The 15981-nt window shown below is 39.5% G+C and overlaps 1 long non-coding RNA gene across 6 annotated transcripts in view; it reads right to left on the bottom strand.

Annotated features, from left to right (window-relative positions):
- Nucleotides 1-15981, bottom strand: part of LOC105375751 (uncharacterized) — a 463156-nt gene that overhangs the window by 400496 nt on the left and 46679 nt on the right. Inside the window, exon 3 of one of the 6 annotated variants that reach the window (NR_188074.1) lies at nt 2036-3147. The exons of the other annotated variants lie outside the window; for them this stretch is intronic. This is a non-coding gene — a long non-coding RNA (uncharacterized LOC105375751). Of the gene's footprint in view, nt 1-2035; nt 3148-15981 lie in introns of those variants that run through there. 6 annotated transcript variants of the gene reach the window in all.

Below are 15981 nucleotides of genomic sequence, written 5' to 3'. Positions count from 1 at the left end.
TCATCTTAAGAGCCAATAGCCAAATAAAAGACATCATTTTTTAAGAAGAGACTGATTTATCAGGGGCTTATGTATCCCCAGAATAACGGCCCAGAAGATGCCTGGCTCCAACACTTGCCTGATTACAACACCTGTCTTAGTGTCTCAAAACAGGCTGATGACATCCTTTCTCCACTAGATTGGAAGCTTCATGAAGAAGAGCATTGACTCTTTTCACCTCTGTGTCCCTGACACACAGCCCAGAGCCTTCCCAATGTGATGTTCTCAAAAAATATTTACTGGATATAAAATCAGCTTCCAGCCCCTTCTCAACCAGGGGTAACCATGCCCTCCAGGGAACATCTGGCAATCTGGAAACATTTTTGATTGTCACAACTGTGGATAGGGTTGCTAGAGGTATCCGGTGGGTAGAGGACAGGGATACTGCTAAACATCCTACCGGGCACAGAACAACCCCCCACAGCAAAGAATTATCCAGCCCAAAATATCAACACTGCCGAGGATGAGAACCTCTGTTCTAATTCAATGTAATCCTTTTGTAAGTGGAAAACAACTGAGAACTGAAGAGATGAAATTTCTCACTCATCAGAATGGTGGTAGAGTCAGGCTTAGGGACCTAACTACCAGCCCAATGTCCTTTCTTTCACTGATAAATAATACTCCAGAAATTGGGACAGCTCTCTGCAGATCACTCATTTGATTTCCTAGACCAAACAGGCTCATGCTAAAAAGAGAATCTTAGATTATGGCATGATTTCCTACTATTTTTACCTTTAAAAAAATTGCATAGCTTGGTGTATATAAATAAAGCAAATGTTGTATACATACATATCTTTAGCTGATTTTTTTCTTTAGTTTTCTACAGACTGATGAGACACTGCTTCTTACCTCTTATTTTTTTGTAAAAATATACTAATAATTGATTAAACAGTGATAAATTAAAGACATCAAATGGCTCTTTAGCGCTCATTCTCTCATCATCTGAGACAAATATCAGAAAAAGTCAAATCTGCTAACTTTTAGTACTAGTTGCATTATTATTTTGTGTATTTGCAAAATGCTATGCAAGACATGCAGGAGTAGGCGTTGGCTCAAGTACCTCCCAAAGCCACTGATGATGCCCTCAACACATCATCACAGTTTGCAGGGGTCAGAAGGTCGAGCGGAATATGAGGAAAAGCAAAATCTTTGGGTCTAGACAGTTCTGCCATTTACTTGGGCAAATTAATTAACCTCTCTGAGACTGAATTTTCTTTTCAAAATGGAAATTCTCTAAAAGGAAATAATTACAGGGATGTTAAAAAATAAAAGACAAATTAAATTCCTTCTGAGAAGACTGAGCACAAACTTGGTGAAGATAATAGATTTCTGCTTTTTCACTGTCAACAAAGCTCTCACATTTTTCTTCTTTTTATACTTCATAAGAAGTCTAAAAACATTGGAGCAAGAATTAACAGGTAAAATATGTTCCTCTTCTTTCTCTCTAATAAACCATGGTAACCCCAGACACTACAACATATTACAAAGGTTTGCTCTGAGAGTCAACCTGATGACTCAGTTCTGCTATCAGCTCAACACATCCCATTCAGCTTTGATTACATGATGCATGTTGGACCCCCACGCTGGAACACTGAGGGCTTGTAGGGGGAGAGGCAGGAATGACTCTGAACCGGGCCCTGCCCTTAGGAAGCCCACAATTTAGTGAGGAGACAGGACAAGGGCACACACAATCTTAAAACCACTCAGACTGGGGTCCATGCTCTACAGGAGATGCAAGATATTCATGCCTTAGTTTCAAATGGCAGAGACCAATTCTGGCTGAGCACCGGGGAAAAGCTTCCCAGAAGTGGTGACACTAGAGGTGACCCTTAGAAGAGGGAAAGTATTAAAGTAGGGCTGTCAGGGAGGAGCACATTTTAGCCAGAGAGAACAGCCTGGTTACAGAAGACAGAGCATGGAAATGTAAGAAGACGGGTTTCCCAGAAGGAAAGACTCTACAAAGGGGGCTAACATGGGCTCAAAATAATATGACAAGTTTTGAAAAGGAAAATGTGTCTTTATTGTTTGTTTGTTTCTTCATTCATTCCATATTATTTTGTTTATTCCATAGGCAAATGGGAGCTACTAAAATTTTTGGAGTTGGAGTGGAATATGAGATGTCTTTCAAGAAGGTTATCATGCAGTCCTGAAAGAACAGACATGCTGATTGGCACAGAGCGGCAGGAAGAATATAAAGACACCATGAAGCTCTTAAACTGCGATCTGTTCATTTACTCCTGTTTGAATTGGAAGAATAGGAGCTGACGTTTGGATGGGGTCTTAAAAGTCATCTTGTGCAACCTTGCACCCAATGCCAGAATTACTGGGGCTACACACTCTGATTGAATATCTTCCCTGAAGAGAGGGGCACTGGTGCACAGAATGGCCCAGGCATGAGTGAACATCTCTGCTCCACAGGTCCAGGAGGCAGAAAGGCATAGGGAAAAGGCCACGGCCTCTGTCTTCTAAGACCTGGGCTCAAATCCAGCTCTGCCCCTGTGAACAGGGCAGGATACTCCCTGAGTCTTGCTTTCCTTATATGTAAAAAAAAAAAAAAAGAATGATAATCTTTAACATATAGGGATGTAGTGGTATAAAAATGAACTATCTTACCCACTAAGGCTAAGCATGGTAGACACTTATTCTTCCCCTTGGTCTGAGCCCAAATCTTCTTGCTTCTTTCACCCATTCATGGGCCCTAATTTCACCTTCTAGAGGCAAAGAACACATTTGCTCCCAATTTCATAACACAATATTAGAAACAGCAGCCATGTTCCCACAAGTCTTCTCTTTCCTATGTCAAACATTACCTTCCTCCAATGACATTTCCAAAGCATTTATCGTTGCAATCCTGATGTATGCACCAGGATGATGTCTGAATTCTTGGTCTTTAATATGAAATTATATTTCTACATATGGTAAGGAGCAGAAGTAGGCTTTCTCAGAAACAGTCCTGATGATGTCATTCTTCTAATAAGTGAGTTTACTTGGCTTACTTTTAAGGAGAGATGGGCCATGTTGATGATCTCTACAGAGACTTCTCACCTCCTTTTTATTCCCTCCAGGCCCTGTTCTGACAAATTCTCAAACGTCGTCTAAGGCAAGACACTGGGGAAAAAAAAAAATGAGAACCACTGGTGTAAGACACATGGATCAGTGTTGGTATGACTACTCAAAATAAACTAAGACTAGCAAGACTAAAATAACTCCAACACTTCATGTTAAAGAGGCACTGATGAGCTCCTGTTAAGGCAGCACATAACACAGCACTGTAGTTCTCAGTACAATTAGCTGGCCTTGGGATTTGAGTACAGCCTCAAAGATAAGGGAAGAAATAAAATCTAAAATCGAGAGAAGAGGCCCGGTGCCTTGCAGGGTACAAGCTGCTTCTGCCTTTAGGAAATTGGAACTTCCTTTTGGACTGACCCATGGCCAACAGAAAATATGCTTAGCACTGTGCATTGATCATTTTCTATGGATCAGGCTCTATGTGAGTTCTCAGTGATTGACATAGCATTGCTAAGGTCTGGCTAAGGAGACTGCCATAGAACAGGATTATGGCACTACCATGTGCTGGATGAAACAAGGATAACCAAAACATAGATTTTGCACTTCAAACCTAAGGTCATGGAGGAGGCATAGAAAAGAAAAGACAGGGTCAAGCATGGTGGCTTATGCCTGTAATCTCAGCACTTTGGAGGCTGAGGTGGGAGGATTGCTTGAGTCTAGGAGTTATAGACCAGCCTGGGCAATGTAATGAGACCTTGTCTCTAAAAACAAAATTATTTTTAATTAGCCAGGTACGGTGGTTCTTGTCTGTGGTTCTAGATACTCGAAAGCCTGCGATGAGAGGATTGCTTCAGCCCAGGAGTTCAAGGCTGAAGTTAGCCAGTATGGCACAACTGCACTCTTGGAGAAAAAGTGAGACCCTGTCTCAAATACAAAGAAAAGAAAAGAAGGAAGGAAGGAAGGAAGGAAGGAAGGAAGGAAGGAAGGAAGGAAGGAAGGAGGGAAGGAAAGAAGGAAGAAAGAGGAAGAAAGAAAGAAAGAAAGAAAGAAAGAAAGAAAGAAAGAAAGAAAGAAAGAAAGAAAGAAAGAAAGAGAAAGAAAGAGGGAGGGAAGGAGGGAAGGAAGGAAGGAAGGAAGGAAGGAAGGAAGGAAGGAAGGAAGGAAAGAAGAAAAGAAAGAAAGAGAAAAGAAAGAGCAAGCATGAAGAAGAGCCACTTTTATTTAAATATTTGTGCTCAGCAAAGATGTCTGAGGAAAATAAAATCCTTTACTTTACTAAAGATTTATTAAACTTAACACAGTCTACACTCATTTATTGCCAGGCTCATTAGATACACAATCTCATTTACTATTGAAAATAATTTTTAAAGGTAAGTTATATTATTTTATGTTCATGTTTGAGTGAGTTTAAGTGCCTTGCCCAAGGTCACAATTAATAAACTGTTGGCTTACACACAGAGAAGAACAAAGCAAGAAAATATTTTAACAGATACTAAATCAAAGAAGATAAAATGTCTATATTTCAGGAGCCCATGTGGCCCAGTCTGTACACATTAAATAAATTCCTAAAGGAAACAGTTTATTTCAGTGTCAAGGCCGGGCGCCGTGGCTCACGCCTGCAATCCCAGCACTTTGGGAGGCTGAGGCGGGTGGGTCACCTGAAGTCAGGAGTTTCAGACTAGCCTGCCCAACACAGTGAAACCTCATCTCTACTAAAAATAGAAAAAATTACCTGATTGTGGTGGCACACGCCTGTTATCCCAGCTACTCAGGAGGCTGAGACATGAGAATTGCTTGAACCCAGGAGGCAGAGGCTGCAGTGAGCCAAGGTCATGCCACTGCACTCTAGCCTACATGACAGAGTGAGACTCTGTCTCAAAAAATAAAAATAAAAAAAAATGTGTCAAGATCATGAAACAGAGAGAGAAAAAGGCAGTCTGAGCAACTGTCACAGACTGAAGTGATTCGAGGGATATGAAAACAAAGTAAATGTGGAATTCTGGATTGAATCCTGGCCCAGAGAAAGGGCAATAGAGAGACAACTGATAAATTGCAAAGAAGGTCTGTAGATTCATTAATAATATTACATCAATGTTAATTTCCTGATTTCAATAATTGTAACATATAAAATGTCAATATTAGGGGAAACTGGGCAAAGAGTATTTGGGAATTTTGTACTATTCTTCAAGTTTTTGTAAGTCTTAAATTATTTCCAAATAAGTTAAATACATTATCTTGGTCCATTTTGTGCTACTATAACAGAATGTCACAGACTGGGTAATTTATAATCAACAGAAATTTATTTCTCACAATTCTGGAGGCTGGGAAGTCCAAGAAAAAGATGCTGGCATCTGGCAAAGGCCTTCTTAATGTGTTATCCCATGGAAGATGGCAAAGGGGCAAGAGAGGGTGAGAAAGAGACACAAAAGGGGGCCAAACATGTTCTTATATAAGGAACCCACTCCCACGATAAGGAACTCACTCTCACAATGACAACATTAATCTGTTCATGAGGGTGGTGCACACATGAGCCAAACACCTCCCTTTAGACCTCACCTCCCAACACCACCACATTGGGAAGCAAGTTTCCAAAACATAAGCTTTAGGGGACACATTGAAACCACAGCATGCATGCATACATACATACATACATACACTCTCTAAATGGTCTACAAGGTATTAAGTTAATCAGCCATTTTTTTTTTACTTGCTACTCAAATGTTAGCTCTTTATTATTTATGTTGACAGCATTTCTGACACTTTTTTCTTTTCTTCTTAATTTTCTTGTCAAAGGACAGCCTAGAAACTGACTCAGTACACAAGAATCCCTTCCCTTTGTGCTCATTGCTTCATTCCTGTCTCTCAAATCATTCTTACGATTCTGTATCCCAGAAAATCCATGAGCTGAGAAGTGAAAACAGACTCTCATTAGAGAGTGGGAGAAAGAGAGAAGCTGATTTACCAAGGATAATTATTTTCATGAATGGAAGAAGAGGAAGACATGAATAAATTATGGCTCTAGAACAAAAACATAATCAAAAGACCACAATCTAAGGATAGATAATAAATTGTAAGGGTGATCAGGAAGGAGTAAAGCAATCTGCAGTGAGAAAATGAGCTGGCTGAAGGTCATCCATATTCTGAGACTAAAGTTTTGGTTGGCCTTGTTAGAAAATAACCTTAGGTGCATTAAAATTTTTCAGCAATGATTGTTGCAGAGAAAAATCATTGATGCATGATGAAATTAATGGGCAAATGTATGACGAGAAACAGGATGTTTGCATAGTCTTAAAGTAGAATTTATTAAGCAGACAGGAATACATGCATCAGGCAGCACCAAGAACAGTTCAGGGTGTGAGAGGACTCTTTCATATGGTGTGCATGGAAGTGAGGCAAAGAAAATATTAATCGGTTAATGTGAAAGTTCCTAGTTAGAATTTAGTTGGCAGTTTCTAATTGGTTAAGCTTAAGTTTTGTTTTCCTAGTCTATATCCATTCACTATGAGTTGTGCCTAGTATTAGTCCATTTTCATTCTGCTGATAAAGACAGAACCCAGCCTGGGCAATTTACAAAAGAAAGAGGCTTATTGGACATACAGTTCCGCATGGCTGGGGAGGCCTCACAACCATGGCAGAAGGCAAAGAGGAGCAAGTCACATCTTACGTGGATAACAGCAGGCAAAGAAAGAGAAAGCTTGTGCAGGGAAATGCCCCTTTTTAAAACCATCAGATTTCGTAAGACTTATTCGCTATCACAAGAACAGCATGAAAAAGACCTGCCCCCATGATTCAATTACCTCGTATCCGGTCCCTCCCATGAAATGTGGGAATTGGGGGAGTTACAATTCAAGATGAGATTTGGGTGGGGACATAGCCAAGCCATATCAGAAGCCATCTCAGCCTAATAGCCTCTCAATTATTATTATTTATTAACAGCCTTTAGGTGAGCCATTTTCTCTGTCTTAAGTGAGGGGTTTTGGGATCAGTTTATGGCAAAATCACTTTCACCCATCAATTTCTTCGATACACCCCCATCTATATGCACCTAGTTTAATGTGTCTATTTTTCATATTTCCTCAAAACCAACCATGGCATAATAAAGAATATATATTTGGTTGTTTTGTCCCCATTCCTGATACAGAACTCCTAAAACCCATGTAATTTCCTGAGTGATGAGAGGGATAGAAGCATCTTTTCTTATCCATTTTAACCTCCTTTCAACCATATCTGAGCTTATGCTAATGGGATGACTTTTGGTGGTCTCCTAGATAGCCTCAGGGTGGGGTCTGGTTACCAGAGGAACCAACCATGTGATCAGAGGGTTTGAACTTTTCTCTTTGGGCCTCTAGGGAAAGGAGAGTCCTAGAGGTTGAGTTAAACACCAATGGTCTATGTATTAATCAATCATGCTTATGTAATTAAACCTTCATAAAAATCCCCAGGCAATGGGGTTTGGGGAGATCCCTGATTGGTGCTGGAAGGGTGGCACCCAGAGAGGGCATGGAAGCTCTGTGCCTCTTCTCCAATACCTTGCCCTACGCATCTCTTTCATTTGTCTGTTCCTGAATTGCATCCTTTATAATAAACTAAAAATAATAAGTAAACTGTTTTTCTGAGTTTTGTGAGTCATTCTAGCAAATAATCAAAACTGAAGGTGGTGTGGGGGGATCTCCTGACTTTGTAACCAAGACAGACAGCATGTGGGTACCCTGGGGAGCCAATATTTTCAACTTGCATCTGAAGTGAGGGTAGTCTTATGGGAGTAAGTCATCTAACACAGTGGTCCCCAACGATTTTGGGACTAAGGACTGGTTTTGTGGAAGGAGTTGGGGGAGTAGAGTGGGGAGCAGAAGTGGGAGAGTGGTGGGGTGACAGGGTGCAGATAGTTTCGGGATAAAACTGTTCCACAGGCCAGACGTGGTGGCTCATGCCTGTAATCCCAGCACTTTGGGAGGCCGAGGTGGGCAAATCACGAGGTCAAGAGATCAAGACCATCCTGACCAACATGGTGAAACCCTGTCTCTACTAAAAATACAAAAATTAGCTGTGCATGGTGGTACGTGCCCGTAGTCCCAGCTACTTGGGAGGCTGAGACAGGAGACTCACTTGAACCCAGGAGGCAGAAGTTGCAGTGAGCCAAGATCGCACCACTGTGCTCCAGCCTGGTGACAGAGCGAGACTCAGTCTCAAAAAAATCCATTCCACCTCAGATCTTTTCAGGCACAGTTCACAATAGGGCTCACGGTCCTATGAGAATCTAATGCTGAGGCTGATCTGACAGGAGGCGGAGCTCAGGCTGTAATGCTCGCTGTCCCACCTCCCTTCTTGCTGTGCTTCCCAGCTCCTAACAGGCCACAGACTCTTCCAGGTCTTTGGCCAGGGACTGGGGACCTCCGGTCTAACACAAACCTCAGGTAGTTACCATCAGAATTAAATTGAAATGTAGGACACTCAGCTGTGTTCAGAGGGTTGGAGAACTGGTTGTTGATATTAAAAAAATACCTCACATATTTGATGTCAGAAGTGTTGTGAGTAGGAACAATTTAGACGACTGAATTAATGTGCATAGCCTCAAAGTATGGCCCCACAAGATGCTTATTAATTACAAAGGAAAAATTTAAATTAAAATTTAAATCATGACAGTGGAGAAAGCTGGCCGATACCCCCTTAACCGAGTGATCAAAGTTTACCTCAACAGTAATAAGATGTATTGACATTATGTACCTTCCTCCGACACAATGCACTGAGAAGGTCATAACATCATTTCTGTGGTGAGGTCCTCCCCACAATCTCCTTCACACTGATGCAGTGAGTTTGGGACTATCTTTTCTGCCTTTTCTTGGAAAAGAATTCATTTAGCCACTATTACTCCTTTGTCATAGGGATACCTGTGGATGATGTGGAAGCTGAAATAACTTGAATTTAGCTGACTGTGTCAACAATCATCAAGTAATAGAATCATGTTGATGCAAAATAAGCCCTCATTCTATTTGGGGAAAAAATTCAATTAACAACAGAATCATGTAGAGCCACCCCGTGGTTATGGAGATTTAGTGATTCATTGCAACCGAAAATTGCCTGTGGTGGTGGCAATGCTATTTCCCTCTTATTGTTGCTTTGTCAGTACCCAGCAACCATGCCTAGTTTCCACCCATTACAAAACAAAATGAAACAAAAATCACCAGGGGTTAAAAGACGTAAATTGGATTATACTCACACCATTTTGGAAACAAGATTTTACTGGTACCTGCAGTCAACTGAATAAATATCCTTACATTAGCTTATGGCTCATTAGAATTCCAATGGCGACGGTTTTTATTTATATGTGTCTGCCTCTGAATAAATGGAGAAAGGGCAGAATGATACAAGGTTTTAAGACAGGCCAGTAATCCCAGCACTTTGGGAGGCCAGTGCAGGCAGATTGCCTCACTTGAGCCCAGGAGTTCGAGACCAGCCTGGGCAACATGGCGAAACACCCTCTCTACAAAAAATACAAAACTTAGCCGGGCATGGTGGCCCACATCTGTGGTCTCAGCTATGGGGGAGCCTGAGGTTGGGGGATTGCTTGAGCCTGGGCATTCTGGGCTGCAGTGAGCTGTGACTGTGCCACAGCACTCCAGCCTTAGCCACAGAGCAAGACCCTATCTCAAGAAGAAAAAGAAAAGAAAAACAAAAATAAAAAAGAAAGACAGGCTAGGCACAGTAGTTTCTGCTTGCAATCCTAGCATTTTGAAAGGCCAAGGCAGGTGGACCGCTTGAGACCAGGAGTTTGAGAACAGCTGGGGCAATATAGCAAGACCCTGTCTCTACAAAAATAAATAAATAAATAATTAAAATAAAAAAGATGAAATGGACATTCTGTTCAGTAAATCAGAGTTCTGGCATGGAGCTAGATTGTGGGTCACACGGAAATTACACAGATACTTATTTAACATTATTTATTTGCAAAATTATCTACCAAGGCTATAAACTTCTGGTTTTCAAACTGTGTTTTGCATCAGAACCAGGGGCAAAAAATACAAATGCTACCGCTCTTCCTGAGACATTCTGAATCAGAATCTCTAGGAGTGAGACTCAGGAATCTATTTTTAACACCATTCTCCAGTAATGCAGTAAACAATCGGCTTGAGGAATACTGCTTTAAATGTTCACCAGTCTTATTCCAAGCTACCTATGATGATACAAGTATAGACAAATCTAAAAAGACAAAGTTCACCCCTGGAGATTAAACAAGGGTCAGCCAAATATGGTCCATGGACCAAATCTGGTCATCACTTATTTTTGTATAAAAAGTATTTTAATAGGAATACAGGTATGCCCATGCATTTAGGAATTGTCTATAGTTACTTTTTTACTAAAAGAGCAGAGCTGAGTAGTTGTGACAGACACCATATGGCCTGCAAAGCCTAAAATATTTACTATCTGGTCCTTTGCAGAAAAAGCTTGCCAACCTCTGGCATAAATAGATGCCACAATCTGAGAGATCAGGAAAATGGGTAAACTAAGATAGGCTGGTAGAGTAGTTGGTCATTTACAAATTCTCAGCTCCTTTCCTTGGATTTTAATCTCAGATCTGCCACATACTAGAATGATTTAACCTTCTCAAACTGCAGTTTTATCTGTAAAAATGAGAAGGATTAGATTAAATAAAACTACACTTAAAGGCATTGCAACCTTTGTACTAGGTAAAAGGAAGAAAGGTGAATGAATCATTGTTTTTGCCCTCTAGCTGCTCAAAGTTGATCTGTAGGTTCTATTTTACCTTTACTTTAAGAGGTTGTTTAGTGATTAGGATTGTGTGTACTGGAGTGAGGCCTAGGACTCTGTTGAAAATCTGGTTCTGCTACTTACTAGCAATGTAATCTTGAGAGAATCCTTAATGCTCTTTAGGGTATTCATGAAAGCGGAGGTAATATCTATCAAAATGTCATGGTTAGGTTAAATTAGATAATGCAGATAAAGTATTTAATACAACGCAGGTCTATCAGTTTGGCTGCTTCTAGTGTTATTCACAGTCGAGCATTTGTTTATTAGTGGAGGCAGCACTGGTTGGGGCTGGACAATTCTTTGTGCAAACCTGCCCAGAGCTTCTAGCATCTTTGCCCACTAAATACCAATGGATAAACAAAATGTGGTCTATTCATACAACAGACTGTTATTCAGTTCTGAAAAGGAAGGAAATCCGGTACATGCTACGAAATGGATGAACCTAGAAGATAGTATACTAAATGAAATAAGCCAGTCACAAAAAGACAAATACTATATAATTGATTACACTTAAAGTGGGTATCTAGAGTAGTCAAATTCATAGAAAAAAGAAAGTACAATGGTGGTTTCCAGGGACTGGAGTAAAGGGAAAATTGTAAATGTTGTTTAGCAGGTACAGAGTTTAACTTTTACAGGATGAAAATGTTCCGGAGATTGGTTGCACAACAATGTTAATATGTTTAATGCTACTGAATTGTACATTTAAAAATAGTAAAGATGGTAAATTTTAGGTTAGGTGTATTTTACCACAATTTTTTTTTTTTTGAGACAGGTTTTCACTCTCACCCAGGCTGGAGTACAGTGATGCAATCATGGCTCATTGCAGCCTCCTGGGTTCAAGCAATCCTCCCACCTCAGCCTCCTGATTAACTAGGACTATAGAACTCTCCCACCACCAAATTTTTAAAAAATTTCTTGTAGAGATGAGGTCTCACTATGTTGCCCATGTTGGTCTTGAACTCCCGGACTCAAGGGATCCCCTGGCCTCAGCCTCTCAACACGCTGGTATTACAGGCGTCAGCTATCATGGCTGGTCCACAATTTTTTTTTTTTTTTTTGAGACAGAGTCTCGCTCTGTCACTCAGGCTGGAGTGCAGTGGCGCGATCTTGGCTCACTGCAAGCTCCGCCTCCCGGGTTCACGCCATTCTCCTGCCTCAGCCTCCCGAGTAGCTGGGACTACAGGTGCCCGCCACCACGCCCGGATAATTTTTTTGTATTTTTAGTACAGATGGGGTTTCACCGTGTTAGCCAGGATGGCCTTGATCTCCTGACCTCGTGATCCACCCTCCTCGGCCTCCCAAAGTGCTGGGATTACAGGCGTGAGCCACTGCACTTGGCGGGTCCACAATTTTTTTAAAAAAGCTTTTTTTTAAATCATAAAATCATAAAAAGATATTATGCTTTTTTCCAGATTGCTTGCTAAAAGTCTTTACATTTTTCACTCCACTTTGAAGAGGCTGAAACTGGCTTCTTTGCTATCTGTGAGGTTTGTGTGTCAAAGTCCAGACAAAACTCCAATCAATATAAAAATACGCTCCTATATGTTGTTGTTTGAAAGTAAAACGAGTGAAGATTTTCATAACAGACTACTATGCAAATTTGTTGGTTATATCGTGCCAACTACAAAAAATTAATTATTTGTTCACTATAAGAATTAGTGGCTTGTTAGGGGAACATCACACACTGGAGCCTGTCCTGGGGTGGGGGGAGGGGGAGGGATAGCATTGGGAGATATACCTAATGTAAATGACAAGCTAATGGGTGCAGTACACCAACATGGCACATGTATACATACGTAACAAACCTGCACATTGTGCACATGTACCCTAAAACTTAAAGTATAATAATAATAAAAAAAAGAATTAGTGGCTTGTTGAAATTACAATATAAATACAAATTGTTTTAAATATAAAATACAGACAATCATAATTACTAGTCTCCTTTTAAGTCCCAATTTCACCAGTTTTTCACTACTGATTGTTAAATATTGGTCTTGTTCTGAATGGATTTGTATAAATGGCCTTTTCCACTCTAAATCTTCCTTGGGTAACAAAGAACTCCTTCAATTATTTCTTCTCTCCAGATGACCTCCAGTTCCCTAGCTTGAGACCTGAGCAATCTAAGTTTTCCAGGACACGTCCCAGAGCATGTTTACTTCAAATGTTTCTCTGTTGATTCAAATTCAATGTTAAAAAGTCTAACTTATCATTGACCCTCTAAAAGTTACTTTCCTATTTCTCAATGTCATCGTCTATACCACACCAACCACAATGAGATTACTGGTGTCTTATCATTCTGTCTACTTCATTTGCTTATCCTTCCTTTAGTTTCCAAATTCTTCTGACTTTTCTCCTAAAATGTTATCTTTCACCTGTCCTCTCTTCTCCATTCCCTCAGTAAATTCCCTTAGTTCTAGGTCCTTACCACTCTTGTCCAGATGGGCACAATAACGTTCTTCCTCTCCTCACTTCTTGTGGGTATTTTTTTTTTCTTTTTTTTTGAGACAGAGTCTTACTCTGTTGCCAGGCTGAAGTGAAGTGGCGCGATCTCGGCTCACTGCCACCTCCGCCTCCCGGGTTCAAGCAATTCTTCTGCCTCAGCCTCCTGGATAGCTTGGACTATAGGTGTGGGCCACGATGCCCAGCTAATTTTTTTATTTTTAGTAGAGACGGGGTTTCACAATGTTGGCCAGGATGGTCTAGATCTCTTGACCTCATGATCCGCCTGCCTCGGCCTGCCAGAGTGCTGGGATTCCAGGCGTGAGCCAGCACACCCGGCCCTTTTTTTTTTCTATTCTAATTCTACGAGGTTAATTTTTCTAAAATGTAGGTCTGCTCCAGGCCAAAAATTTTATTATATATATAATTATATATCTTGTTTTTTATATGTGTGTATATGTATCTTGTTTTATATCTATAAAATACATCTTGTTTTATATATTATACATCTTGTTTTATATAATACATCTTATTTTATATATATAAAAACATGTATATACATATACATATATAGAGATAATTTTTTTTTTTTTAGAGACAGAGTCTTTCTCTGTCACCCAGGTCAGAGTGCAGTGGCATGATCATAACTCACTTCTTCTTCAAACTCCTGGGCTCAAGTGCGCTTCCCACCTCAGCCTCCTGAGTAAGTGGAACTACAGACATGCCACCATGCCCAACTAACTTTTTCTGATTTTTTTTAGAGATGGCGTCTTGCTATGTTGCCCAGACTGGCCTCGAACTCTTGAACTCAAGTGGTACCCCAGTCTCAAAGTGCTGGGATTATAGGTGAGAGCCTTTGCACCCAGCCCCAGGCCAAACATTTTACTCACTCTCCCTCAGACATACTTTTCAGCTCCTGTCTTTTGGCTTTGCACAATTCCTTCCCGCTGGAATTACCTCCTCCATGATTTCTACCTCTCCAAATCCTGCTCAGATCTCAGTACTAATTTGAAGCGTTTCTTGATGAGCTCAAGCCTAAGTGCTCTCTCCCTGGGAACACATTTTGCCTACATCCCTCAGAAGGGAATTATCCATGCGTGAAAACACTAGCTGCTTATAGCATGGGATCCAGAGGTAAGAGACCTGGATGCTTCTTAATAGCGTAATCTTGAGTAAAGCTCTCAATAGGTATAATGACTACAAATTGTTGCTATTTAGGGTGCCTACCATAGGCTAAGCATTTTATATTTATGAATAATAGCCATCATTTATTATTTCTTAGGTTCCAGGTCCTTAATAAATTATATCAATCAATCCATACAAAAACTCTGTAAGGTGGGTGGTATCATTAGCCCTATATTTCAGATGAGAAAACTAAGGCAGAGAGAATATTTATAACTAAACAAAGAAAGTTGTAACTAATACGTTGTACAGGTAGCATTCAAACTCAGACAGTCCAGCTCCTGAATCTACATTCTTAACTATTACCCTCTATTATATTATGCTATTTAATCCTACAGTAACTCTATAAGATGTGTGTGTATGTGTGTGCATGTGTGTTTGTGTGTGTGTGTTTTCCTTTTGAAGATAAGAAAAAATGAAATTCAAAGAGGTTAAGAAATACCCTAAATCATGGATGTGGTGAGTGGTAGTGTTAAACTTTATACTCAGGTCTGTCAGGCTCCATTAGACATTATCTTTATTATGCTGTGTTTCTGAGATTAACATGACTACTTCAAAGGTTATTGTGGAAATTAAATAAAATCGTGCACATGGTTTATAAATGCTAATATGCTATACTAAATGTTGGGTTGAGCTTTGCATGAATGTATTTTTATCTTGCCACCACGCCTATTAGCTTTAGACAAATGGTCTCCAAACTTTGATCTCATAATTTCATTGGCCTTTTTATTGGTTTGGAAATGAGTAATTTATATGTAAATTAAATGTATGCATTACTGTAGTAATAATTCTTGATTCTGTCACTTATTAGCTAGTTGGTCTTACGTTTGTTTCTTAAACTCTATATGCTTCATTTTGCTGATCTGTTAAATAGGGAGACCAATATAATCATCATTATGTGTTATGAGAATTAAAATAATTACTATATGTAAAGCATTTAAAACAGTGCCTATGCATGGTCATGTGGTGTCTTAGTAATAAATAAAAAAAAGGAAATAAATGAAACAGTGTCTGGTATACAGTAAAATGTATAAAGTGTCACATATAATTATTGATTGTGTCATTATAAAACATACCAAAAATAAAATGTTTTAAACTTAATTTTTTCATTTTAGTTTATTATTAATAATAAAAAACTTCTTTGCTTTAACTAAAAATATTAATTTTAGCAAGAGAGACATGATTCAGTATGCTTTACTGTCTTTAAATGTCTGGAAACAACATTTTGTGATAAAATGATTTGAGAGCCTAGTTCTAAATGTATTTTTATTTTTGTAATTTTAATGACTGCCATAGTTAAAAACATACTTTACAAAGAAGCACAGGTATATGGAAAAAGCATATCCACATACAAGTTATCATATTAGCTTTAATTATTAAATATCATCCCTACTTTTTGGCCCTATCTACCAGTAATTCCAAGTTTTATGTTGATATTTGACCAATAAATTTCCATATTATGTAATGTAAATCATTTTGCAAATTAATGGAAGGTATTTATTAATTGTTTTATAAATTGTTTCGAAACCTACTTATTCATTTGAC

Source organism: Homo sapiens, chromosome 8, assembly GCF_000001405.40.
Source record: "Homo sapiens chromosome 8, GRCh38.p14 Primary Assembly".
Classification (NCBI taxonomy): Eukaryota; Metazoa; Chordata; class Mammalia; order Primates; family Hominidae; genus Homo; species Homo sapiens.
This window is presented reverse-complemented; position numbering and strand designations above follow the sequence as displayed.